Raw genomic sequence first — 25,796 nt, 5'->3', positions numbered from 1 at the left:
TAATTTGTTTATCCATTTACTGTGGGTGGATACTTGTTTGTTTACAGGTATGGGTTATTACGAATAAAGCTGTTGTGAATATTCACTTCCCAATCTTTGTATGTTCATTTTTCTTGGGTAAATATATATTTATTTATATAAATAATATATAAATATATAACATATAATATATAATATATAATTTATATATTTAATTTAATTTATATATTTAATTTATTTAAATATGTCATACATATTATATATTATTTACATATTATATAATATGTAAATAAATATATTAATAATTATATATTGTATATTAATTTTATATAATTTATATATTTATATATTATATATTTTAGATAAGTGATATAATCAAGCAATATATAACCTTTATACTTATATATTTATATGTAATATATAAATATATAAATATAGGTGTAGAATTTGGGTGTTTCTTTAATGTTTTCAGAAATTACTGTATTAGTCTGTTCTCATATTGCTAATAAAGACATACCTGAGACTGGGTAATTTATGAAGAAAAAGAGGTTTAATGGATTCACAGTTTCACATGGTTGGGGAGGCCTCACCATTATGGTGCAAGGTGAAGCAGGAGCAAAGACACATCTTACATGGCAGCAGGCAAGAGAGTGTGTGCAGGGGAACTGTACTTTATAAAACCATCAGATCTCCATGAGACTTATTCACTATCAGGGCAACAACATGGGGAAAACCTGCCCCCATGATCCAATTACTTCCCACCGGGTCCCTCTCACAACATGTGGGGATTATGGGAGCTGCAATTCAAGATGAGATTTGGGTGGGGACACAGCCAAACCATATCAATTGACAAACAGTTCTCCAAAATAATTGTGCCATTTTTCACTCCATCAGCAATGGGGAAAGATTCATTTGCTCCATATCCTTTTGAACATTTGGTGCTGTGTTTTAGCCATTAGTGGTCATTAATGTAGAATCCACATGTGTTCCTGATTCTATTTCTCTCCTCTTCTATTACCACAGGCTCTCTCTTAGGTCTTCAAATTCTCTCCAGTCCACAACTTCAGCATGCCCCAGATCCCCCTAGGGAATCTTTCTCAGTTGAGGCGCTCCCTCCAGTTGTTGTCTTCACTCTTTGCTTTTGATCAAATTGGCAAGAAGAATGGTTAGCGCCTGGTGCTTCTCCTTTGCACCTGTTCACACAGCTGTCTAGTGCATTCACTGCTCTGCCAGCTTTTACTCCCTTAGTTTCTCTGCAGTGAAGAATATGACACTGTTGATCTCCTTCTGATTTTGAAGCTCTTTATTTCATTGCTTCTATCACAGTGCATTATTTTGCTCTTCCAAATCCAACATCTGCTCTTCTTCGACCCTTCCTATAAATTTAGGGACAGCTAAGAAATTCACTTCATATCCATTGCGTACACACATAGAGTCCAAATGTCTTAGCATTCAGGGCTTTCCATAATCCTGCCACTTTCCTCCTTATTCTTCACTCCTCTCCCATATTGTGTAAACCCAGACCCCAGCCAGATTGGCCATTTGTCAATGTATGAGAAATACTAACCTGCCAGGTTACATTTTAGAGACTGTGACTGAGGTTTTAAATAGAGAACTTTCCTAGTTCATTTAAAATGTGGTTTCATTTACATTTTTATCATTTCATGGTCAGTGGCTGTCCAAAATTAAGTTACTGGGAAATAACGAGAATGTCTATGTACTTACTCAAGATTTGGCAGTTGTTTGTATGTAAACAGATTGCTAATGATTAAACTATTTTTGTGAGTCCCTCTCCCCTACTGCAACTCCACTCATTTATACTGTGATTACTAATGAGTTGAGGTTGCGTTGTTTTAAATCCATCATGTGCTTTGCAAGGAATCTTCTCTCAATCTTTCCTTTTCCTTTTGTAATGACTGCAGTAAACACCGCGGAGACCTGAAGACAGAGCTGCCCAGGAAGTGCTGGGTGGGAGCAAGCTTTGAGGAATCCCCTGGTTTTTGTTTACATTCTCTTGAAGGAGTTGGAATGTCATCATTTTCCTTCATTGCATAAATATTTCTAACAGAGGATAATTAAACAGGCCAGACTGCTTTGTCAAGTGCAAGAGTTTCAGTAGTCTCCCTTGTCCTGAAAATCATTTTCCCACCCCATTCACCCTTTACAATCTTTCCCGGAATCCTTTGTTATCTTGTCCCCTTGAGCTCCTGTGCTGCCTGAAAGACTTGGGATGACTCAAGATATAGGTGAAAAAGGAATAATTTTTGGAATAACTCAAGGTGAAAGAGGAATTTTTTTTTTAAGAGAAAAGGACTCACTATGTTGCCCAGGCTGGAGTTCAGTGGCTATTCACAGGTGCGATCATAGCACACAACAGCTTCAAACTTCCAAACTCCTGGGCTGAAGCGATCCTCCTGCCTCAGCCTCCCGAGTAGCTGGGACTAGTCTGATTCAATTAAAAGAATAAGAGAAATGTGGATAATCATTGAAAATTTCTTTCTGCATACATTTGTCTTACTTTAGGGTACCAAGTGCCTGAACATTTTTTCTAAAGCCCAGTAGGAGATCAACTTTACCCAGACAATTAAATTTGGCATATAGGCTGTTAGACATAATCAAAAGGCTTTTAAATCTAAAAATGCTCTGTGTAGGCCAGGAAGAGAAATAGGAAGGACAGAAAGAGGAATATGCATGTTCCACCCCTGTCTGTGGCCTGCAGGGTCTGTCCCAGGAAGCATGAAATAAGGCCCCTTCCCTTCTTGGTGACTCCTTAGCAATTCTGCCAACCTCCCTCCCATTTGTACCCTCCTGATATAGGGCCCAGTTCCCTTAGTTTGGTGTTTTCATGCCTTGCCTCTTGTCTGCCGGCCAGCATAGCAGGGCTCTCTTCCCTCAGCTTTCTGGCCACCCTCCTCCTGCAAGTGACAGGGACAACAGTAACTGGCACTTAAATGGCACTCTGCTCAGCACTTCTCATGTCTCATGAGCCTGCCCACACCAGTTGTCTAGGACAAGCCCATCACTCTCCCATTACAGACTGAGAATCACGTGAGGAGAGAGCCCAGGGCCAGGAAACTGATGCCAGTGCTTTCTGCCACATCATGCTGCCTCACTACCACCTCCTGTGTGTTCTCCTCAAGACTAGCAGCTGGGAGAGCTTAGTGAGTTTGAGTCTCAGTTCTACTGCAAAATTACATGTGACCTTGGGAAAAGGATTTTACCTTGCAGTGCCTCCAACTGCTCGTGTATAAAGTGCAAATAATACTAGTAACTACATCTTTCATGAGTACTAAATACAATAATGCGTGTAAGTCCTCAACATAGGCCCTATTACCCAATGAAGATGAAATAAGCTTTAACTATTATTAATTATCATCAGCCCAGGGACATAATTTCTCACTTTCAATTTGAAACTCAGGTCCTTGGTATAAAATATGCAATGAATCAGAAGTAGATAATGCATTTTCTACCCCTGCAGTTGAACAGCTCGGGGAAATTTAAACTTTGCTGAGGCTTAGTTTCTATCCGTGTGTGTGTGTGTGTGTGTGTGTGTGTGTGTGTGTGTGTGTGTGTGACAGAGTCTTGCTCTGTTGCCCAGACTGGAGTGCAGTGGGCTGATCTCAGCTCACTGCAACCTCCAGGTTTTAGTGATTCTCCTGCCTCAGCCTCCTGAGTAGCTGGGACTACAGGCATGAGCCACTATGCTTGGCTAATTTTTGTATTTTTAATAGAGACAGGGTTTCACCATGTTAGCCAGGCTGGTCTCGAACTCCTGACCTCAAATGATCCGTCTTCCTCAGCCTCCCAAAATGCTGGGATTATAGGCGTGAGCCATTGTGCCCGGCCTCCATCTCTTTAAAACAAAGGGTGAGAACAAGTGATCTCATAGAATTATCCAGCTGCAAGAATCTGTGGTTTTAACTACAACTACAGGTTTCTGGTCTTTTAACTGAGAAGTAAAAGAAAAAGAAGACCAGAGAAGAACTTGAAAGTCCCTTTTCTCTCCAGAGGAAGTACTTGCATTGTAATAGCATCCTGCCTCTGCTGAAAAAAAAAAACCCATCTGTGAGGCTTCTGGTAGAAATTTGAGCTGGGAATCTTGCTGGAGAGGAGAAAGGAGCAAGTGGAGTTAGCATTTATTGCCTCCTACTATGTGCCAGACACTCGGCTAAGCATATCACTCATGTTCTTTTACTCCACTCTTACAGGAACCTAGAGAGGTAGAGATTATTTAATAATAAGCACATTTCTCTTTGGCCACTGGGGCTCCTAGAGATGAAGCATCTAACACATCATTCAACTGGTGAGGGCAGAGCTGAGATTTAGACCACCCCAAGCCTGAGCCTAAACCCAGGAACACGCATTAAACTGCATCATCAAAGCATCCTTTTAGCTATGGGGCAAATGAATCCTGACTAAATTAAGTTATTCTCAGCTGCCTTCCCTTTTAGGTCCCTACCTGGGAGCATTGTTTTACACTTTCCCTTAATCTTGAAAGGATTTAGCATATATATTTGCATACACTTTGAAGTGAAACTGGCTTGGGACTAGTTTATCCCAGCCCGCCCCCATGCGCAGAACCAGCCCTGCAGATGCAGAGGAAGGCACAGTGGGGCAGGTGTTCCACTGCCTGGGTGCAGAGCAGTGACCTCATCTGGATGACGATAGACACCAAGAGTCGTTCCAAAGAAACAAAGGAGAGGAACTCAGGACTAACATTTCCTCAGGACCTACTCTGTGCCATCCCCAGTGTGAGGTGTGTGTGTGAGCTGCATCTCCATTTCTGCTGCCCTGTGACTCCATCTTACCATTTCTCAGTTTCCAGGTGGGAGAAGGGTAGGATGGGGGGTGGGAGGGAGGCAAGTGGCCTATTCTCTGAATGTTAACTGTTAGGCCAGTGCCACTTTTGCGCCACTCTGTCTAATGAGTTTGACTGTGAATTGACTTTTTTTTTTTTTTTTGAGATGGAGTTTTGCTTCTGTTGCCCAGGCTGGAGTGCAGTGGCATGATCTCAGCTCACTGCAACCTCTGCCTCTGGGTTCAAGTGATTCTCCTGCCTCAGCCTCCCGAGTAGCTGGGATTACAGGCGCCACCACCACGCCCAGCTAATTTTTGTATTTTTAGTAGAGATGGGGTTTCACCATGTTGGCCAGGCTGGTCTCAAACTCCTGACCTCAGGTGATCTGCCCACCTTGGCCTCCCAAAGTATTGAGATTACAGGCATGAGCCACTGCACCTGGCGAAAATATTTTTTAAAATTCTTTTAACCACATAATATGAATCTGTGTCCTCCACACAGTTCCACGTGGCTTCTGTAGAAAGTCAAGCAGAAAAATTAGGGTGAACCCCTAGTAAACTAGATGCTATATTTCCATTACATTTCCCAGGTGTGCTCAGTAAACTTGAATCTAAAGGAAGCTACATAGAATATAATCTGATTTTCTTTTCTTTCTGTACAGGAAAGATAGTAGAGCTACAGAAACATGTGTGCTCTGTAAAGATCATCTCAGTCAGACGTTTACAATTTGACTTTCACAATTCAGTTTTTTAGAAGAGCTGGTAAAGTCAGTATGCCAAAAAAAACCATGATCTTTTTCATTTGTTGGGAACATCAATTTTGAATCCAACAACAACAGACACCCCGACAAAGGAATAGTAATTAAGAGGTCTGCCCAGCATTCCAAGTTCACACTGTGGTTAATGGGAAATTTTACTGCCACCAAGAGGGTCGCCAAATCCATTTATTTCTGTTACTGGCATTTCCTACGTTCTCCCCAAATGTCAATACTTTTTCAAAGCAAGCATCTACTTTCAGTTTAAATGAATATGTCATGAGACTTTAGACAGGAATCCAAAAAGTTCTCTAAATTGACAAACTTACCCAGTACTTAATTACTAAAAGAAAAATGTGGCGAAACCTTGTTTGCTTTTGCTAAATATCTGTCACTGACATGGAGCCATGAAAGTGACACGATGCAAATGTTTTTACTTAACACACAGGAAAAACAGTCCCAATGCTGTGTAACCAAAGGGAAAATTCCCTGTGAAACTACAAGTGTTTAATGGCAAAATTCGTACATTCTAAACAAGATCTAATTTCTACTTAATGTTTCTCTTATGAAATTAATGATGATGTCACTGGTCCCAGGAACACATTCTCGGGAATTTTTTAGCCTTTTGGAAGCTCCCGGGGGAAACATGAGAGAGTTGAGTTTTGCTGCAAAATATTAGGAGATTTTTATTTTTGTTATGATGGATAACACAGGAGCTAAGACTTGGATATGCAATCAAGGATATTCACAATACAGCCCCTATGAGAGAGAAAACTGCCTCTTTTCATTGCAGTATTACCCCAGAGTTCTACTCTGCCCAACCCCATCCTGCCACATTTCCTGGTATCCAGGAGTATCTTTCATGGGGCAAATTAACCAGCCAGTGCCACCTTTCTCTTTTGGTCAGATTGTCCCAGGGAAGTCTTCTTTATCCTGTCTTTTTAGCTTTCAGCATCCTATTATATTTAGCCTCCTCTGCAGGATCAATTGATCCATGCTAAGCAGAATCACCTGAGAGGCTTAGAATCCTAATGATTCCTGGGCCCCACCAAGACCTGCTGAATCTTATCAGTCCTGGCATTCTGCACTTTACCAAACACCTGGAGAGTTTTACGCACCAGAATTTCAGAAGTGTTGATTTAAGAGAGAAGTAAAGACAAAATATTTTAGATCACGGAGGATTATTATCAGTCGTCAGCTGGTGATGCTGTTTAGCAGTTAAGGAAATTCCAGATGCTGCAGGGCAATAATATTGCCAAATTCTGGAGCAGTTTTACGCTTACCTGCACTTTTTACCTATGCAGGGATCCCCAAGAGTTCCATCAGTGCCGGTTGAACCCTCTACCAGAAGCTCTGAGAGTCCTTGTTGTTCTTGGTGTCTTTAGTATCACATGAGTTCTTAAAGGGATTCAGAGTTTTCTGTGACTCCAAAATCAAAGTGTGTCTGTGCCTGATTGGACAGGATATATACTGATGTTCGATTTTATCTATTTTTCACCAATTATGGGCTAGTTAACTCTGGCCTTTCAATATAACTCAGAGAAATGACCCATGGACTTGGTCAGTTCAGAGAAGAAAAGTTATTTTAATATTTTTCCCCTTTGAAATTGACTTGTCAATTCGGTCTAAATGGCTAAATTAATACAATGCTATGAATTTAGGTATGATAATTATTAGATTAAAAATCTATTGTGGGGCCAGGTGAGGTGGCTCATGCCTGTAATCCCAGTACTTTGGGAGGCCGAGGCAGGCGGATCACGAGGTCAAGAGATTGAGATCATCCTGGCCAACATGGTGAAACACCGTCTCTCCTAAAAATACAAAAGTTAGCTGGGCGTGGTGGTGTGTGCCTGTAATCCCAGCTACTTGGGTGACTGAGGCAGGAGAATTGCTTGAACCTGGGAGGCGGAGGTTGCAGTGAGCTGAGATTGCTCCACTGCACTCCAGCCTGGGCGACAGAGCAAGACTCTGTCTCAAAAAAAAAAAAAAAAAAAAGCAACAGTGAAAAACTATTGTGGTATCAGAAACAAAGAAAAATTTCTCTGATGTGTAACCCAAGCTTTTTATGAATGGTTTGAAATGTGGAAGGATATTATTTAGGAGAGACTATATCAAAAATGGCACATTCTCCTTGGTTTTAAAAATTAAGAAAAGAATAGGTTTCAATGGGTGATTTTTAGAAACATTAAATGAGTTAATAATAAAAGCCAAAACATAGACAGTACCTACCAAGTGCCTGAGATGCATGGGGGTCAGATAATTTGCCTAAGGAAACACAGCTAGTAAGTGGTAGATGTAGAGTGAGACGCCAGTCCTTCTGGTTTTTAAGTCTGTGCTTTTAACTACCATATAGTGGTAAGGTGGATAGGCGGCTTAGCAGTGTGCTTGGTAAGGAACAGATTTTCAAAACGTGGATGCGGTGCCTGTGATTTTCTTATGATTCTAAGTTAGGCTTGGGCTGCTTCTGTCTTCCTTAGGATCACGTCTATAATACTTAAAGAACTGTAGAAACAAAATGTAACATGGGGGAATCATATTGTCACCTTTTGTCAAATTTTATTCAAATATTGGAAAACATTTAAGGAGATTTACAAAGATCTAGAAATAAAGAGTAAAACTATGGCTTTTTGTTTGTTTGTTTGTTTTTATTTTTTTTTGAGACAGAGTCTCACTCTGTCGCCCAGGCTGGAGTGCAGTGGCGTGATCTCGGCTCACTGCAAGCTCCGCCTCCCAGGTTCACGCCATTCTCCTGCCTCAGCCTCCCAAGTAGCTGGGACTACAGGCGCCCGCCACTGTGCCTGGCTAATTTTTGTATTTTTAGTAGAGACAGGGTTTCACTATCTTGGCCAGGCTGGTCTCGAACTCCTCTGACCTCATGATCCACCTGCCTCGGCCTCCGAAAGTGCTGGGATTACATACAGGCGTGAGCCACGATGCCTGGCCAAAACTACGGTGATTTTTTTTTTTTAAACGAATGCAGCAATTATTGAATTTCTACTCTGTGCAAGTCACTTTTCTGAATTGGGGAAAAAAAAGTAACATTAGTAAGATGTAGGTCCCACCTGTGAAGGAACTTAAAACCTGGTGGTCACAGATAAATTGTATAACATTTCAGCGAGTGAACACAGAAATGCCAAGTGTGGCCTCAATGGAACGGTCTAGATTTGAAGTTCTAAATTAGAGTCCAGGTGTTATCGAAGCTGTGTGACTGGGGACAAATCACTTGAGCTCTCTAAACCTTAGTTTTCTATTCATTTGGGATGATGGTGGTCAGTATTTTTGTCTAAATCTTTGAAAGGGAGATAATTATGCCAAATTTATAATGCTGAATGAGAATTAGAGTAAATTACTTAGCATGGTCCTTGGCAGAGAGTAAATGTTTAGGAAACAACTATTGTGAAATATGCAGCTTAAAAAACTTGTCTGCATGGCACATTCACTGTTAGATGGACCTGGATCCCCCCTCGCAAGAGGCAGCAGTAGGTTCCCCACACGTGCTTCACTAGGATCTCAGAGAAGAAAAATATAGATGTCAGAATGGGGCTTCTAGGTAGCATTTTCCTACCATATTTTTCCTATGATGATAGAAAAAAAAACTGAAATATCAGAAAGGTGATACATATGTATACATATGTTCTTCGTTTTCTTAAGTGTTTTTAGGAGCTTTGAGCTGGGCAAGTCAGGGAAGGTGTCTCTGGGAACCAGAGTTGAATAGGAAGGAGAGAAGAGCCATCTGTGAAGTGGTGTGGGAAGAACACCAGGCTGAGAGGCGGAAGACCTAGGGCTAGTCCCTTGTTTTTGCTTAGGAGCAGGGCAAATCATGAAAGCACTCTGAATCTCAGTCTCTAGTACTGTAAATTGAGGTTGGAGTCTATCCATGATTCTCAAATCTGGGTGATTGTCATATTCATACGGAGGGCATCCTACTAAGAGGCCAAGCCTCAGAGCACTAAAGTCTTTTTTAAAGCACACGCAGTGATTTGTAAGGTACAGTGAAGATAATCAATGGAGTAGGTCATTGTTAGGTTCTGCAGAATAGATGCCAAAGGCCACCCAGTTTCGCTGGAGTAGCGGGTACCTGGGTATGTTTGGAATGCTAGTCAGAACCATATTGTAGAGGGTTTTAGCCTAAGAGTCTATCTGTAGGTAGTTGGACATTAATAAAGATTTTTATATATGAAAGCAGAGGTCTAGAAAAAGTTCTTCCCGTTGTCGGCACGTAATAAAAGGAGAAGAATGAGGGAACTAAAATCAGATGTGTGAACCAAGGCATTAGCAAGCGAAACTGAGTAAGTGCTGAGTAAGACTGCAATAATCCAATAGTATTGTAGGACTGATTTTTAATATGGGATAATTATCAGAGAAACGTGCTATAATACAGATATGAAAAAGGGATGCTACTAACATCAGAAACAGTTTGAAATTAAGTTTCAATCTCACATAATAATCATATTACTATATAACCAAGAAAGGTTTTATTTAGATGAATTATCTTCTCTAAGTTATTGTGTCAAAGCCACACCTATTTCATAAGCTCCCACCAAGGGGTGAGCAAGAGAGACTATAGAAGAAATATTCTCTTCATTCCTCTCCCTTTTAGAAACAATAACAAATCACCACTTATCAACTTATTGGGCTTTCTTTAAGAAGAATTTAAAAATCTCTCTCAAGGTGGCATGTGATGTCTGTTAGCCTGACCTGTTGGTGCTTAATGACACTCAGCGGCTCCCAAGCAAAAGGAGAATCCTCCAGGAGTACACAGCCAAAAAGAAATGTCTTCTCTGCCAGAGTCTTTGCATCTTGTAATACTCATATACTAAATTAATTACATGATGAGGTGTTTTTCTTAAAGTCTGTTAGTCTCTCACAGGATTTTTGGAGATGATGTTTTTTATCAAGAATCTGGGTTCTTGGTATATAATTTTGATGATAATCTTTCCATCGTGTCACATGAATGTTCATGGACAAACTCAAGCATTTAGGTTCATAGACTGTACTGAATGGTCATCTTGCTAAGCTCACATGTAAAAGGTCTAAGTTTCCATTCTAACTGATATGAGCCACGACAAAAGAAAACCATTAAGTCATTGCTATGAAGATGTTATGGGTTTTTTTTTCTCTCCTGATTTGAAGAATATCTAAGCTAAATTATATCCCAAGGGACTTAATTTTCAGCCTTAATTTTCAAAGTCCATACCTTCCTTTGGACTTTGAGAGGATTTCCAAATTAATGTTATTAAAGATTTATGCATTTTTGGAGGAAGAGTTCTGCTGACCATAAGATAATAGCCAAATTAGTGGGATACAAAAATACATTTCATTTAAAAAACATGTGCCAATGGAAGAATTACATGAAGGTATATTATAGAATAGAAACTTGAGTGTATGTAAACGTAGTGTGTGTATGGAAGTCATGGAGTCTTGTGGGTACTCTTTAAATGTCCACGAAATGAGTGAATCAATAATAAAGCACTAAGCGAGCTGTAATACAAATTAATTATAACCATGCAACTTGAAAGCCATCCCAAGGACAATCCACTTAAGGACATGGGTGTTATACCTGTTCTCAAGGATGGGACTTTGCATGAACAAGAGCCCATTAGGAGTTAGATAGACCCTAATAAGAAGAGGATAGTGCAGACCACCACCTCTCCTGAGAAACAGCTAAGTGCTTGACATATAATCGATAATGATAAATATTTGCTTCATTGAATTGTTAAATCCAAGGTCTATGTTGGAAGCATGGCGGTTTTTTCCCCAAGGTCTATGATAGTTGAAATTGCCTTATGTAACAAGCTGCTTCTAACACTTAAGAACTCAAACTTATGGAGTGAATATTAGTTTTCCCTCTATGTCACTTCATCCTCAGAAACTGGAGCTGTAGGGCCGGGGCGTGGGAGATGGAGGGGATTGTATCAGGAGCTACGGTCACCTGCCTTTGATACCTCATGGGACAGTTCTGCTGAAATCGCAGCATGCATACAGATCACCTGGGAATCTTTTGAAACTGAAGGATCAGATTCAGTAGGTCTGGATGGGGCCTGAGATATTGTGCATTTCTCACAGGCTCCAAGGTGATGTTGCTGAAACAGGTCTATGAATCACACTTTGAGCAGAAAGGTCATTAGGGGTGGATTCCTAAGAAGTTAGAATCAGCAGATATGGTATGATGGAAGAGCACTCCGAAGACTGTTTATATAAACATGGATGAGTCACTTGACTTCCCTGAATTGAAAATTTCTCATTAGAAAAATGAGTATAATAATAGAACAATAATATCTACCATATGTGATTGTTGTGAGAAATACATTAATAATGTTATGTGAAAGATATGAGGGTATATGGCACATAGTCATTGCTAAATCAGTGCATAGTAAAAACACAAGCACGCAACTCTATATTGGTAACTGTTAAAGAGGAGGGGACCTTTAGGCTGTGTCCTTGGTATAGTGCAAAGGATTCTCTTTTTCATTGCACAATTACAATGTCTAGCACTTAACAAGAGACTAGTGTCTGTGGAATTGTATTAATAGCAAACTTGATCACTTCCAATACTGTACATTTTTGGCCCCAAAGATATTGATATCAGCATAATGACCCAATGTCTCCTCATTGGATTTAACAGGAAAGAGAACTTTTACCCAAGAAAATGGTAATGACTTTTGGGCCTTGAGTCCTCTTTAAAAGGAAGTGTCATCACTGGGGGAAGAACCAAATGAAGAAGACAGAATTAGCCTCAATTTTCAGTAAAAATATGATGATAAAATGTCTCATTATTCTTTACCAGCCAGTGGTCACAGTAGTCTCTAATTTCATAAATTATTTATGGAATATTTTCTCTCTTAAATATAAAACCAAAGATTAAGCAGTTTGGCCTGGTTTGTTCCTGGAAGGTACAGCCACCCTAGGAGCTCAGCCTGCAGTGGTGTGACCAGTACTACAGGGACCCAAATATCTTCACATCATTGTAAATTGGCTCTCATGCCACCCAATTTCCCCCAAATTGTTCCTCTGAAGATCAAAGTTTCTCATTAACAGACCTGCAAAATATTGAATATAACTCTCGAAGAGTGCACAGCAGAAAACAGAAGGTAGAAAAAAGTGGATAACCTGAAGCGTAATTTACATCTTTACATCTCTTTCCATGGAGAATTCAGAGACAGAAAGAAACTGTTAGCACCTTGAGACAATGTAGTTTAATTCATTTGCAATAAATCCAGAGTGAATCAGCTAACCTTTGCTAAAAGAAATGAGATTTTTAGAGTCTAATCAGAGGATTGAAACAAAGTGTTATTAAAAGATGTTCTCCCCCACCCCTTCATTATTATCTATAGGTCCCAGGAGAAAAAGGAAGAAGCTATCACCTTACTGAAGGATTCCATCAAATATGGTCCAGAGTTTGCAGATGCATATTCAAGCTTAGCTTCGTTATTGGCTGAGCAGGTAATTGTTTCACACAGTAGTTTTTTTCAATGTTATTGTTACATGTATAAATTAATGTTACACAGATTTTTGTACTAATGATTTAATTTGTAAACCCATATTGGACAACCAATCTCTATGTCAGTTTCTTTTGGACAGAAATTACAAGCCTAATTTTCTCACTCCAATATTCTCTGTGTATCACAGGTCGCTTTTAGACAAAGATGGTCCGTTATTGGCCATTGATATATTCTCTCTCACTTTGGTACAGAATCTATCAAGAACAATACATGATATTTGATGTTTTTATTACCACTTACTTGTAATATTTTTCTGAGGAATTGCAAGTGGTCTAAGATCGCTGAACTCAACATGGAGCAATTTGATAATCCTACAAATTCTGTTTTAACATCTGTTAGAATATTACAGAGGCTCGTGAGAGAGGCTCCTAAGAGAATAGTTTTTATGGCATAAAACAGAGATGAGTTTTCAATCCCCTCCTTCTTTTCAGTCGTGTCTAAATGATTTGATACCAGTTTTCAGAGTCTTAGATGCATGACCCCTGCTATGGAGAAACAGATATAAGTTGTCTTCTCTCTAAATTGATGATATAGTTTTGTTGACACACATAGTGCCCTTGATAGACAGTAGATTCTGCTACCATAAAATTACCAGATTATCTTTAAAACTCAAACTCAACATCTCTGCAACATGCCCGGCAGCATTCAGTTGGCTTAAGGGTAATAAGTGATTTGATACTGTATGTCAGTTTTGTAGGGAGCGATTTGCATCAGAAATTTTTGGAGGCTCCAGCAAGAAGCAAAATTAGGTCATTCTATGAATATTTAAGTGACAAAGAATATAAACCTAGTTGTTTTGCCCTTTCTCCCTGTAGGATAGGCGGGCTTTAGATTAAAAACCTCTGTCTGTGTTGGATGATTTTAACGCATGCTTTAGTATAAAGTGTGAGCTAAAATGGTGATGGATGTGTCTGTGCTATACACTGGCAGTCCTCAGCTGCCCTTGGCTTGTGTTGAAACAGACACAGAGGCTGGCTTCATCAGTGTTGCTTCATCTCACCTCACCCTGGACCCTTCCTTTTCATAAGCCCCTCCCCCTGCCTCTGACAGGCTGGTTGTTTTGCAGTTACTCAGATGTGCTAAGTGTGCTTCTCTCTCACAGCCTTTGCACTAACTGTTCCTGCAGCACTTCTCTTCCAGATAGTTATCTTAGAGTTTCCAAGATATTTCATATCATGCTGGTTTCTGACCAAATGTTACTATATCAGAGAGGTCTTCTGAGATGACCCTTTGTAAATAGGAACCTTCCGCAGCCCATCATGTTCTCTACTACCATGTCCTGCCTTACTTTCCCTATAGTATTTATCACCATCTAAAACACATTTATTTGTTTATGGACTTTCTGCCACCGTTAGAATATTTGACTCTATGAGAACAGCTATGTGTTTTATTCATCTAAGCTCATTTTAAAAATGATCAAGATTTTAATGATGTTGAACTTTATTTTAGTTCCTTCTGTAGTATCTTTGCATTCAGCCTTACTATTAACAAATTTTGTAGCAGATGGAAGTTTAAACAGGATAACGTATATACTTTTTCCTTACTTGTGTGTAAGAAGTGTCAGATGGCTTATTTAAAATTGATTACTTGATAAATTTAATCTTTTGTGAACTGCAGTGGCAAATTGCTATCAAGTTATTGCATTTTACATAGTTGAAGTTGTGAACAATTGTTAAGAACAACAAATGATGACTAGGATCATTATCTTTTCTTACACACAAAGGTCCCATCTTTTAGCACTTTTCTGTTCTAGATGTGAATGTAAAATGATGTGAGATATAAGAATGGAACTGAAAGATTGAAAAGTTCTTTCTTCTGCCCCTTTGGGCATGAAAACAATGAAGCAGCTGTTGAGCATAACTCAGGACTGCCTTCCCCTCTCTGACTTTCAACATCCTATCTTCATGTTTTTAACTATTTAGTCATAAAAGAGTGCATCAGATGTGCAAGCAAGACACAAACTGTTAGAGAAAAACCCACCTAGCTTAACATTTTTTGGTAGCAAATGAATTCATTTCTTGGTTGCACAACTTTATTTAACAGCATCCTGGCATTTCAAACACCCAGAGTGTATGAAATCAGTATTGACAAACCTTGGGCAACATGTAACACACAGTGAAGCCATCCCCTTAGTCAAGCGACTTGTCCTCCATTGCCACCATCCGTCCACATGCACAGCCCACGCGGACTGTGGTTGTGGGTCAGTGTCATGCCAAAAAGCTCTTTCCTACACTCAGCTGAAATCAGCCATTTTGCAGGCAGTTTTTCAGAAGCTGGATGAAAGGATTCATTCTGTATTTACATCAGCCTGACATATTCTGTATTTATATCAGCCTGACATTTCTGATTTTCTAGGACTTTTTAGTTTTTTTCCTGCCGTACAGTGTATTGACTACCATTTCCAGCTCTTTCAGTTGGCAAACTTGATAATAGTTTTAGTTAAATAACTAGTTTGTGTTTTCGATTTTAAAAAATGTTGTGAAGATCAGTATTAGTTAGGAAGCCCTGCAGCATATCTGTAGAACCTTCTTTCCAGGTTGACCTTTATCTTATGCCAGACTCTTTGGGTAAACTTATTCAAGCATTCGTTAATTTGTTGAATTATATTATCCTCTAGCTCACCTTTCTCAGTCTTGTCTACAGAGATGTTTCGAGACACATTTTCAGACACCTGCCAAAATCCTTCCCCTGATGTAAGGCTGCAAATCTATAATATCAAAAAAGGAAACTAGGTTTATTTGGTATACCTTGCTCTTATTATAAGCATGCTGCTGTCTGTTGACATCATTTCCCATCCTCAGTGCCAATAAAACCATGAATGTAGGATTTGTCGGAAACTAATATTGTGTTCCTTACTCTGTTGTAACCTGAGGGGAGAAATTTAATCTGTTCGCGCAAAGTAGGGGATTTGACAAATTTGAAAAATAGATTAATGAGTTGAAAAGACATTATATGGTAGAACATATTAAGGCCATAATGGAGCCCAAGTTTTACATTGATAGATAATAGGAAGTAACGGTAAATATCTGAGGAGAGCTTTCTAAAACATGTGAGGAAGAAAACCTTGTGGAAAACACATGGTGTATTTTGGAAAAGGCTTTTCTATGCATTCTGGTGTGAGTAGTTGAGAGCCTTGTTTGCAGAAGAAAGTGAGGGAATGGATAGAATATCGTGGAAAAAGAAAGATTTCCATGGTACATAGGGACTGTCAGCATGTAAAGGTTGAATGGAAAAGAAAAATAGAAAATTAAGAACTCCAGGTCAGAACCCCTAAGAAAATGAGAAGATTTATGGCCACTGATAGACGTGGATAAGCCAGACAGAAGCAATATTTTAGGAAAGAAATAAGATGAGTGTCAACATTGTTTCCAGTTAAACAAGTAATATAAATATATAAAGGAAACTGTGAAAACTCAGAGAAAATAACGTATACATCCTTTATTCATAATATAATACCTGGAGACAACAAATATTATCATTCTTTAATATGCATCTCTTTTAAATATATTTATGTGTTCCATACTAATATTTATACACTGTTTGTATCCTGTTTTTTTCACTTGCCATTAAATTATACATACTATTTTGTTTTTTCATGGTGCTAAATGACCTTCATAAATACCACTTAAATGGCTGCTTACTGATTTATCAAAATGATTTGCTGTAATATATGGTTAATAATATTTCAAATGCTGGGACATTTGGATTCCTTTTTATTTTCTTTTGTGGCATTGAGCTTTTTTTTCTTAGGGCTTTTTTAAAACAATATTTTGAATCATTTCCTAATGATAAATTCCAGAATAATTTCCATATCAAAGAATATATTTCATGAGTCTTGAGACGTGTTACCAAATTGCTTTCCGAAAGGGCAGTTCCAATTTACTCTGCCACCAGCAGTGTACAACCTTTAAGTTTTGAATGTTAGTGGAACATTTCAATGAAAATGGCATATGGACCAATGACAGAGAAAGAGATCAGGGCTAGAAAAATAGACCTAGGACTTTAAAAAAATGAAATCATATTATAAGCAGATAATTTCCTCGAGGAGAAAATGAAGAATAGTGTAGGAAAAAGCCCTGAAGAATTTTTTTAACCTTCTCATTTTACATAAAAATATATGGTACACAGAATTAAGTGGCCGCTCATGGTGATTCACTAACTTGCAGCAGGACCTTGACTAAAACCTGGTCTCCAAGCTCCTCACCTGCCACTCTTGCATTAGATGACACTGGGACCCCATGAATAGACTGTGATCATGGGCCATAGTTAATGAGGTTAGGCATGGAATGGAGTGGAAAGGAAGAAGAGATAAAAGAAACCCAGAAGGATGAGTTGTCATAGAAGCTAGGCACATAAAAATGTCCAGAAGAAAGTTGATACCACTCTGTGTCTACTGCATCAAAGAAGTCAAGAAAACTGAGAACAGAAGATAAACTCTTAGCTTTGAAGTCAGGGTGGTCTCTGACTTGCTATACTCTTTGTTCTCCATCAGCATTCAGAACTGGCTGGACTCCAGCTTCACAGATAGGGTAGTAAATATTTATAAGCCCACAATCATTTTTAACCATCCTACTCTTGCATGGATTATATAGCTTTGCATTGCAGTAGCAGTAAAGGAAATAAAATTAACATTGTTTATGACTCTGGCCACTGTAAATTATTACTAGCCCCACGTTGATAGCCTATTGAAAAACAATTAATTAAAATGATAACACTTAAAATAAAATATTTTTCCTTCATGTGCTTTGAAATATGACTTTACCCAATGCAAGAGCAAAAAGAAAATTGGAACAATAAAACATAAATTGGAACTCTGGGTCAAATAAAAAGTCCTGGGTCAGGTAGGTTCTCTCCTACAAATGCTATATTTGAGGTACATTCAGCCACACTGTGTGGGGCTAAGTCAACTTGGACGAAGACCCTAACTTAAGAATTTATTGATTTAATTACTGAGCACATATTTATTGAGCATCTAGATGCCACCAAGCGCCAGAGTGTTGAAGCAGCAAGTTATGTATGTGGTTACCCTCATGGAGTGTAGTATAGAAGGGAAGGCTACCCCTAGGCAAAGATTTATAGCTCCCTCCCCAATGTCTAACACAAGCGTAACAACTGTGCAAAGGGAAAGCACCAGTGAACATGTTAAGGGGACCTAACCTAATGTGGGAGAGGAATATATGGGTAGTGGGGATGGTTGCCAAAGGGTTACCTTTAATCTGATATCTAAAGGACCGATAGATATAAACTGGGTAAAAGTGAAAGGAAAAGCTTTCTAGTCAGAAGGAATAGACCCTCTAAGGGCTCTGAGGTGAGCTTACTTCTAATATGTATTGAGCTTACTTCTAATATGTCAACTTAAAATCATGAGATCTACAAATTTGGAAAGGAGAGCTTTACTTCTTATAATGGGTTGTAGCCTGCAGGCTGGCCACTTGCAGGCTGGGAAGCATAGCCTCCCGCAGAAAGCAAAAGCAGGTGCTTTGAAGGAGGAAGGGCAAGACAGGAATTTATGCTGAACGGGTTGCCTAAGTATACATGTTCAACAGATTAGAGGAGGAACTGTGAATATTTATGAAGGGGTTGCACATGCGTAGTAAGCAAACATGCATGTTACATACATCCCATGTGCACTTTGAGGTGGAGACACAACGTTTAAATGCAGAGGCACCCTATGCACAGTCTCCATGGACCAGCTAGAAGCAGTCCACAGTCCATGGTTTCTTTCCAGGAAGAAATGCTGGTCAGTTGCGTTGAGACCATAAAAGGGGAAGGGAGCTCTGCTGCAGAATGAGGTGGTTGGTTGAAATCAGCAGTGGAGCAAGTCTTTCAAAAGTGCTAGTTTCTGTTCAACTCTTAGGAAAGAGAGTCTAATGGTGGCAAAGGAGTGGGTATAATGATTGAGTGACCTTACCTCTCTGGTCATAGCTGGGAATTGAGTTTTTAAGGTTTCCCTGGGGTCTCCTTGGCCAGGAGGGGGTGTGTTGAGTCAGATTGGGGACTTAGGATTTTATTTCTATTTCTCAAGTAGAAAGAAAGTCATGTACCTGGAAGTATAGAGAATGAAGGCAAAATGGCATGAGAAAAGTCTAAAGTATCAGGAAGCTGCAATTATATGCAAATGTGGTTTTCACCTCTTTTTCTGGTTCCATGACTGCATTATCTGTAGTTGCTCACTTTTGTCACTCTTTCTCTTTAGCATTTATTGTATTGTTCTTGGCATTCCATCTTTAAAGTGGTCACTTCTTGTTTGTGTAAATTGTCAGAGTAGTGTTGATCACATTCTGCTGGTAGATGAGAAAATCTAGGATTAGGAAACACCTTGTATTTCCTTGGTGGGGAAGAATGCCAGATTAATTGATTCATTTTAGTTGGATATGAAAGAGAATTAGACATCAAATATTGATAGCATGTTTCTCATAAATGCTCATACTGATGACATATGGGTGGAGGAACTGTCTCGTAAAGAAAACAAAAGCAAAGAAGAGGGTGAGAAAACAGGTGTCTTTATCTTTTGGGCTGCTGTGTCTTGAATAGTTTCTTGGAGAAGTCGTTGACATGAGTTTAAAGATCTGTTAGTCCTTAATTTCCCAGGTTTGTAATTACTATTACAATATTACTTTTGTAATTACTATTACAATATTACAATGTATTACTATTTACTAATAAAGCCATTTGGCTAATAGGAATATACTTTAAGACTCTGTGGCTTTAAATTATTGATTAGAGTGAAAGCACTTCTAGAAAATCAGCTCAGACACATAGTGACCCCGATGTCAGGGCACTGGAAACATTTTTTTTTCTATTGGCCCTTTACTGCTTTGGAATACCACACTCTACACCTCTATACAGTAGGTACACATTGTTACAGGCCATCTGTTAATCTGTTTGCTAATTGTTGACTGGAGACCCCCAGGGTCCATGAAGGTTTATGCACTTTCCTAATAGTACTAAGAAGTAATTTGCCTTTTCCCTGTCATTATCTCATCAGTATACAGTAGTTTTCTAGCAGCCACATGATATATCCACAGTTATGAAAATGCTATTAAAATACTGTCTCCTTTGCCGACTAAATGTGCGTGTGAGGCCAGATTTTCTTTATATATTCCAACCAAATATATGTACATAAAACAGATTGAACCGACAGAAGCAGGTATGAGAATCCAGCTGTCTGAAGTCAGACATTAAAGAGATTTACAAAAATATAAACTAATGCCACTATTCTCGCTATTTTTTTTGCTTTGAAAATAATTATTTTTATATAAATATATTATTTATGTTTAAGTTTATGATTAAGTAAACTAGCACATATTTTTAAAGTTTCTCAGCTTCTTTTCCAATGTAGTAAATATTGATATATATAGTCCACATAAATGGAAAGTTCTTTGGAATTCTCAGTAACTTTTAGAGTTCAAAGGCATTCTAAAATTAAGAAGGTTGAGAATTTCTGCATTAAGCCAATGTCCATTTGTCATTTGAGTTATTGGAACCTGAACTATAAAGTTTTCCAAACACACGATTTGGCTCAAGACAGTAAATTACAGTCAAGGGTCCTTTTTCAGGACATCTATTTTTCACTTTTCCTTCCTTGAGGTAAAAAGTGTGCTATATTGGGTAATTATAGCATATAAAAAGTGGGGATGTTGACTGTGTTTTATCTCTCTTCCAAGGCCCATTTTATTTCCACACCACTGAAAATGCTTTAAGTCTTGGAGAGGAGCCCATGGCTGCATGCTGCCCATTTTTAACTGCTGCCCTCGAAGGCCAATTTCGCAGGATGGCTGGGGACTCTGGTGTACAGCAGACGGTATTAATATGTCACAACCATTCCCTGGGTCACAAATATTTTTAATTAAAGTTGTCCTATAAATAGCTTACATTCATTTCCTCTGGAACTTACAAGTCAGTAGAGACTAGAAATGATCAGGCTTAGGTCAGGACTTGTAGCCAGTTGAATTAAATGAAAATGAGTGCTCGAAATTGAGCTTCAGAGATTAAATAATAGTGTTATTTAAGATAAATGCATTACCCTTCCAGAGAAGGCGGAATTTACTTTAAACACCCATACAGTATTTTCTTCCTGGAGAAGTGTTTTGTTTTTTGTTTATGAGTAGAGTTGATCATTCCATGAAATTGACAATCAAGTGAAATGAATAGAAAGACAGATCTTAAAGACCTTTTCATAGAGCCTTGAAACTGCCATTGGGGTTACTGAAGGTGTAGGGCTGTGATTCATTGCCCTTGACACACTCAGTCTTTAGATCTCACTATTTCTTTGGATTTTGAAAATATCATTTCTAGTGGAAAATCAGCTCAGCTAATGGATGCAAAAATAAAAGAGAAGATTTAGATGAAAAAGATAATCTCTTTGCCTATTTTGGAGGAGCAAGAAAGTGGGAAAAAAAGTAATATTAGATCCAGTAAAGCAGTAATTGCTCTTAAAAACTGTGGTTAATAGTGGTGTAATTGACTTCAGAAGCTGAGACTGTGAGGACATCAATTGTGTTCCTTTCAGGAAAAACACCTTCTAACTTAACTAGCTTGGTTATAAAGATGTTTTTCAGATCTCACGTAGCCACAGATAGTTTTCAAGCACATCTGTGTTACACAGCCACTGAAGTAAATAGTGACCAATGCCCTTGGGCATTTGGATCATGACAGGTGTACAGTATCTATCCCCAGGTGTGGATGCCACTCTTGGCTGCCCCCCACATACCTTGTGCTTCTCCTCCCACAGCTACATTATTGCCTCCTTCTTGTCTGAATTCCACTCAGTGGTGAAGGTAGGGATTGTGTCTCTCACTCACTGTTCTGTTTCACTGTATACATGCATGGCACATGCATGGTGTTAAGTTTAACTTGACACAGCTTCTGTCTCATGTTGTCTTTCTCAGATCTTTTGATTGAAAAACAGAGCCTCTTCTCCCTCAAGGAATAAATGCTTTTTAAAACCTTTTAATTACCATTTTGGCTAAATGAATTACTATTATTCTACAGTGACCTGTGATCATATTTTAATTAAATGTTTTAAACCTTTGACATATTTGACAGGCTTCTTTCCTTAAATCAAATTTCAAGTTGGAAATGAAGTCTTTTTGACCTCAACTAACTTGAGACACTCTGCAGAGGCCTTCTGCAGCATCCAAAAGAGAGTTTATAGACTTATTTGACATGTTAAACTATGAGAAGCATTGTCAAATAAGTAATGTTTAGCCTTGAGTTATGTTTTTATGAATACATTATTAATATATGTTCCAAAATTATGAGATTCCTAAAATTCTGATATGTCTTGGTATGTTATCCATCATAATTATGGTTATTATATTAAATTATTATAGGCCACAGGAGAAAAAAAACAACTTTTTTGTCAATTACATCTTTAACCATGACCATAGTTAACTTTTCCATAGTTAATTGCTTAATTATGATACATTTTCTAAAAGCTCTTGATAAAGAAGTAAAATCCTAGAATGGCGTATCTTCAAGGAGGTTCACAGAAAGGATGAAAAGAACCCTGACAAGCACTCTTGAAAACAGGTTTCTGATAACTTAAAGATCACATTATTTGGATTAAGAATTCCCAAAACTCTAATGAAGAGACTGACTGGGTTATAAAACTTCTAACCCAAGCAAGACAAGAATTAATTGAATACCAAGAAAACACTTTGCCAGATTTTCATGCTAAATCAGCTCTCACTAAAATGTTTTAAGTATACAATTTAAATAAACTTCTATGGTCCAATTCAAATTACCTATGATGGCCCACCTAATAAACAGTGCTATACATCTGAATTGAAAAACAAAATTGGTTTTTGAGAGGATCTAAATTCAGTATTAAGCATATACTCATGGAGAGCCTAAATGGCCACCTGGTCCTTCCAAAGTCCTTCAAGCTTTCATTGTTAAAAGTTCTGTATGCCATCACTCATCATAGGAGGGATAAACTGATCCAGGTTACATTTTTAAAGTATTTATTGGTATGGTGACTATTCTAAATTGCTAAAATGGTTGACTAATATTTGGGTGGTCAAACTCATAATCCTGGGAAGACAATCAAAACTTCAGGTACATTTCTGCTACCTGATGGGCCATTTAAACATTTATAGAGAAATTTCATTCAACTGTCATTTTTAATGCGTATTTTCTGGTTATATGAAAGCTTTCTCATACAAAAATCTGATGGCTGTAATAGTAGCTAAAACATTATTAGAAAGTGTGTTTCCCTCATGGGACATTCCTAGAAAAATCTCTAGCAATAAAAGGCACTTGATTCACTGGACAAGTTGTAAAACAAATAAGGTATTTCAGATACAATAGCATTAGGCAAAGGTAACTGATTCAACTAGATTGTCTTATTCAAAAGTATTACAGTGGATACAGTGGATAATCAGATCCACTTCCAGGGGAAAACGTAAGTTGGCCTTTCTAAAATAGTCGGTAGAGGGCCCATATCCCTAATAACAAAACCTCATTTACTTTCTGGTCTGAAACTCTGATATGACTAAATGCTACAAGGCTTTAATACATCATGCCAAAGTATACTTTCGCTAGATTTAAAAAAAAAAAAAGGCTTTTCATGATCAGTGACTGTGGACAATCAAACCCTTCATGGTCTAAAACCCAGAGACTGGATATTCTGAAAATGATATCAGAAAAAGACTGCCCTTTGCTGAGCACAGTGGCTCACACCTGCAATCCCAGTATTTTGGGAAGCCAAGGCGGGTGGATCACCTGAGGTCAGGAGTTCGAGACCAGCCTGGCCAACATGGTGAAACCCTGTCTCTACTAAAAATACAAAAATTAGCCACTGGGTGTGGTGATGGGTGCCTGTAATCCCAGCTAATTGGGAGGCTGAGGCAGGAGAATCGCCTGAACCCAGGAGACGGAGGTTGCGGTGAGCTGAGATCCTGCCATTGCACTCCAGCCTGGGTGACAGAGCAAAACTCCATCTCAAAAAAAAAAAAAAAAAAAAAAAAAAAAAAAAAAAAAAAAAAGACTGCCCTTGCCACCCACACTACAGCAAAACTTTGGGACCTCAAAGCTTAGGTTCATAATCTCACAACTGAAAAGGGCCCTCCAGACTCTTTGACCTATACACCCATTTGAAACCTTAAGATAAAGCTAATCAGGAAAGTTTCTCCCCAAAACAAATGGCATCCTAGACATGGACAGCTTTCCCAAGATCACAGATCAAGACTTTTCTGCTATCATCAGACTCTTACCTCTCTTAATTTTTTCCTTGCTTATGCCTCTATAAACAATAAAACTAAAAAGGGAGATTTGTGTACATCATGAGGTATAACTTTATTTGTAGAGGACTTTGCAGCCAGCATTATACATTGACAGTCTTATGCCTGGGTAGAAAAGATTCAGGACCAATGTGAGCAAAAACATTTAATGGCATCTTTATTCTTCCATAATCAGTCAGAACCAGAACATTGGTTCATTCCTTTTAACCTACATCATAGGTTTAAAACAACACTGCCAGGGGCCTTCACTCTTCTAGTGAAGTTTAAACATGGAGTTTCTTTACACTCTTCTAGACATAATTCTTAGGCCCCTTTTCCCATAATTTAAAGGAGATAATGATTACAATTCATCCCTCATAATAGGCTCCATAACAGATTGTACTACAAAGACTGATTACACAAAAGTCATCTTTAAATTCTCTTGCTAAGGTTGTGCTGGATAATAAAATTACTCTAGATTGTCTACTGGATAAACAGAAAAAAATCTGTACCATTACTGACTCTATTTGTTACATGTAAATAAATGCATTGACTATTACAGAGATTTGGTTGTAGGGTATTAATAAACAGACTGCTTGATTAAAACAAGTAGACTCCTTTTCTGGCTCATTCTTTGATCTATTTCATTTTAGTTGGTTTGGTTCATGGAGATGCTGACTAAGGAGCATACTCCAAACTCTTGATTTGATCTTCTTGATCATTATAATTGTCTCTCTGGCACACTATGTTCCCTCAAAAGTTTTCAATGGTTACATACAGCCATTTGTAAAATGTCAAATGGTCTCTCTTTAATTGAGATGACAAAAACTCAAAAAAGAGTGTTCTCATAAAGACATCATAACCAATAAATGATGTACTGAGACCAAAACCCTAAAATAATGGTAACTGAGAATGGCGTTAAAAGCCTAATGGTCACACTCACCTAAGTAAAATCATAACCAAAAGGAAGAAACTGTTAAACAAAATTAGGAGATGCCATTATTTTGGACTGAGTTCATACAATAGGCCCCAGCAGACCAGACCAAACCAAAATAGAGTCACTCATGCTAAGTGTGACATAATCAAATTAAAATTTTTTAAAAAAATCCTAAACAGGTAAGTCCTAAAATAGACGCGAATTTTCTTTCTGCCCTCCAAAAAACAAGAGATTCCAACACAGAGAGGTCCCCTGTACTCTCTTTCAAAAAAATAACCTAAAAAAACCATCTTACAAAGCTCACTGTTCTGCTATTTCCCAGTAAAACTTAAGACCAAATAAGTGCCTTTACGATAGTGGTAGAGTGAAATCAATGCCTACAGTTTTGGTTCACCTCTCAATTTTGAGGGGAGCATTGTTAAATGTAGCCTAAAACTGCCTCCTTACATATTTTAAGCTTGCCCTAAAAGTTTCTCTGTACCTAGTAAACTGTAACCTAACTGGATGCATAAACAGACCACCTTGTGCCTATTTCTCTCCTACCAATCAGCCAATCAAGACAGCCAGCTGTTCAAACTATGTTCAAGTGAGACAAACACTG

The 25,796-nt window shown here is 38.4% G+C and overlaps 1 protein-coding gene and 1 long non-coding RNA gene across 11 annotated transcripts in view; one reads left to right on the top strand and one right to left on the bottom strand.

Moving 5' to 3' along the window:
* Positions 1-25,796, top strand: part of TMTC1 (transmembrane O-mannosyltransferase targeting cadherins 1) — a 283,947-nt gene that overhangs the window by 235,577 nt on the left and 22,574 nt on the right. For 8 of the 10 annotated variants that reach the window (NM_175861.3, XM_047429634.1, XM_017020005.2 and 5 more), the window contains one exon: positions 12,866-12,974. In NM_175861.3, the coding sequence (NP_787057.2) occupies positions 12,866-12,974 (109 nt within the window). Of the gene's footprint in view, positions 1-12,865; positions 12,975-20,700; positions 24,868-25,796 lie in introns of those variants that run through there. The other 2 variants (XM_047429636.1, XM_017020006.2) reach the window with 1 other exon arrangement.
* LOC105369714 (uncharacterized) overlaps positions 1-25,796 on the bottom strand; it is a 36,940-nt gene that overhangs the window by 7,488 nt on the left and 3,656 nt on the right. The window contains exons 3-5 of the long non-coding RNA XR_007063258.1: positions 19,165-19,314; positions 18,945-19,077; positions 15,656-15,740 (exon numbers count right to left, since the gene is read on the bottom strand). This is a non-coding gene — a long non-coding RNA (uncharacterized LOC105369714). The remainder of the gene's footprint in view (positions 1-15,655; positions 15,741-18,944; positions 19,078-19,164; positions 19,315-25,796) is intronic.

Source organism: Homo sapiens, chromosome 12 (genome assembly GCF_000001405.40).
Source record: "Homo sapiens chromosome 12, GRCh38.p14 Primary Assembly".
NCBI lineage: Eukaryota > Metazoa > Chordata > Mammalia > Primates > Hominidae > Homo > Homo sapiens.
The sequence above is the reverse complement of the archived record's forward strand: the minus strand, read 5'-3'. Positions and strand labels throughout refer to the sequence as shown.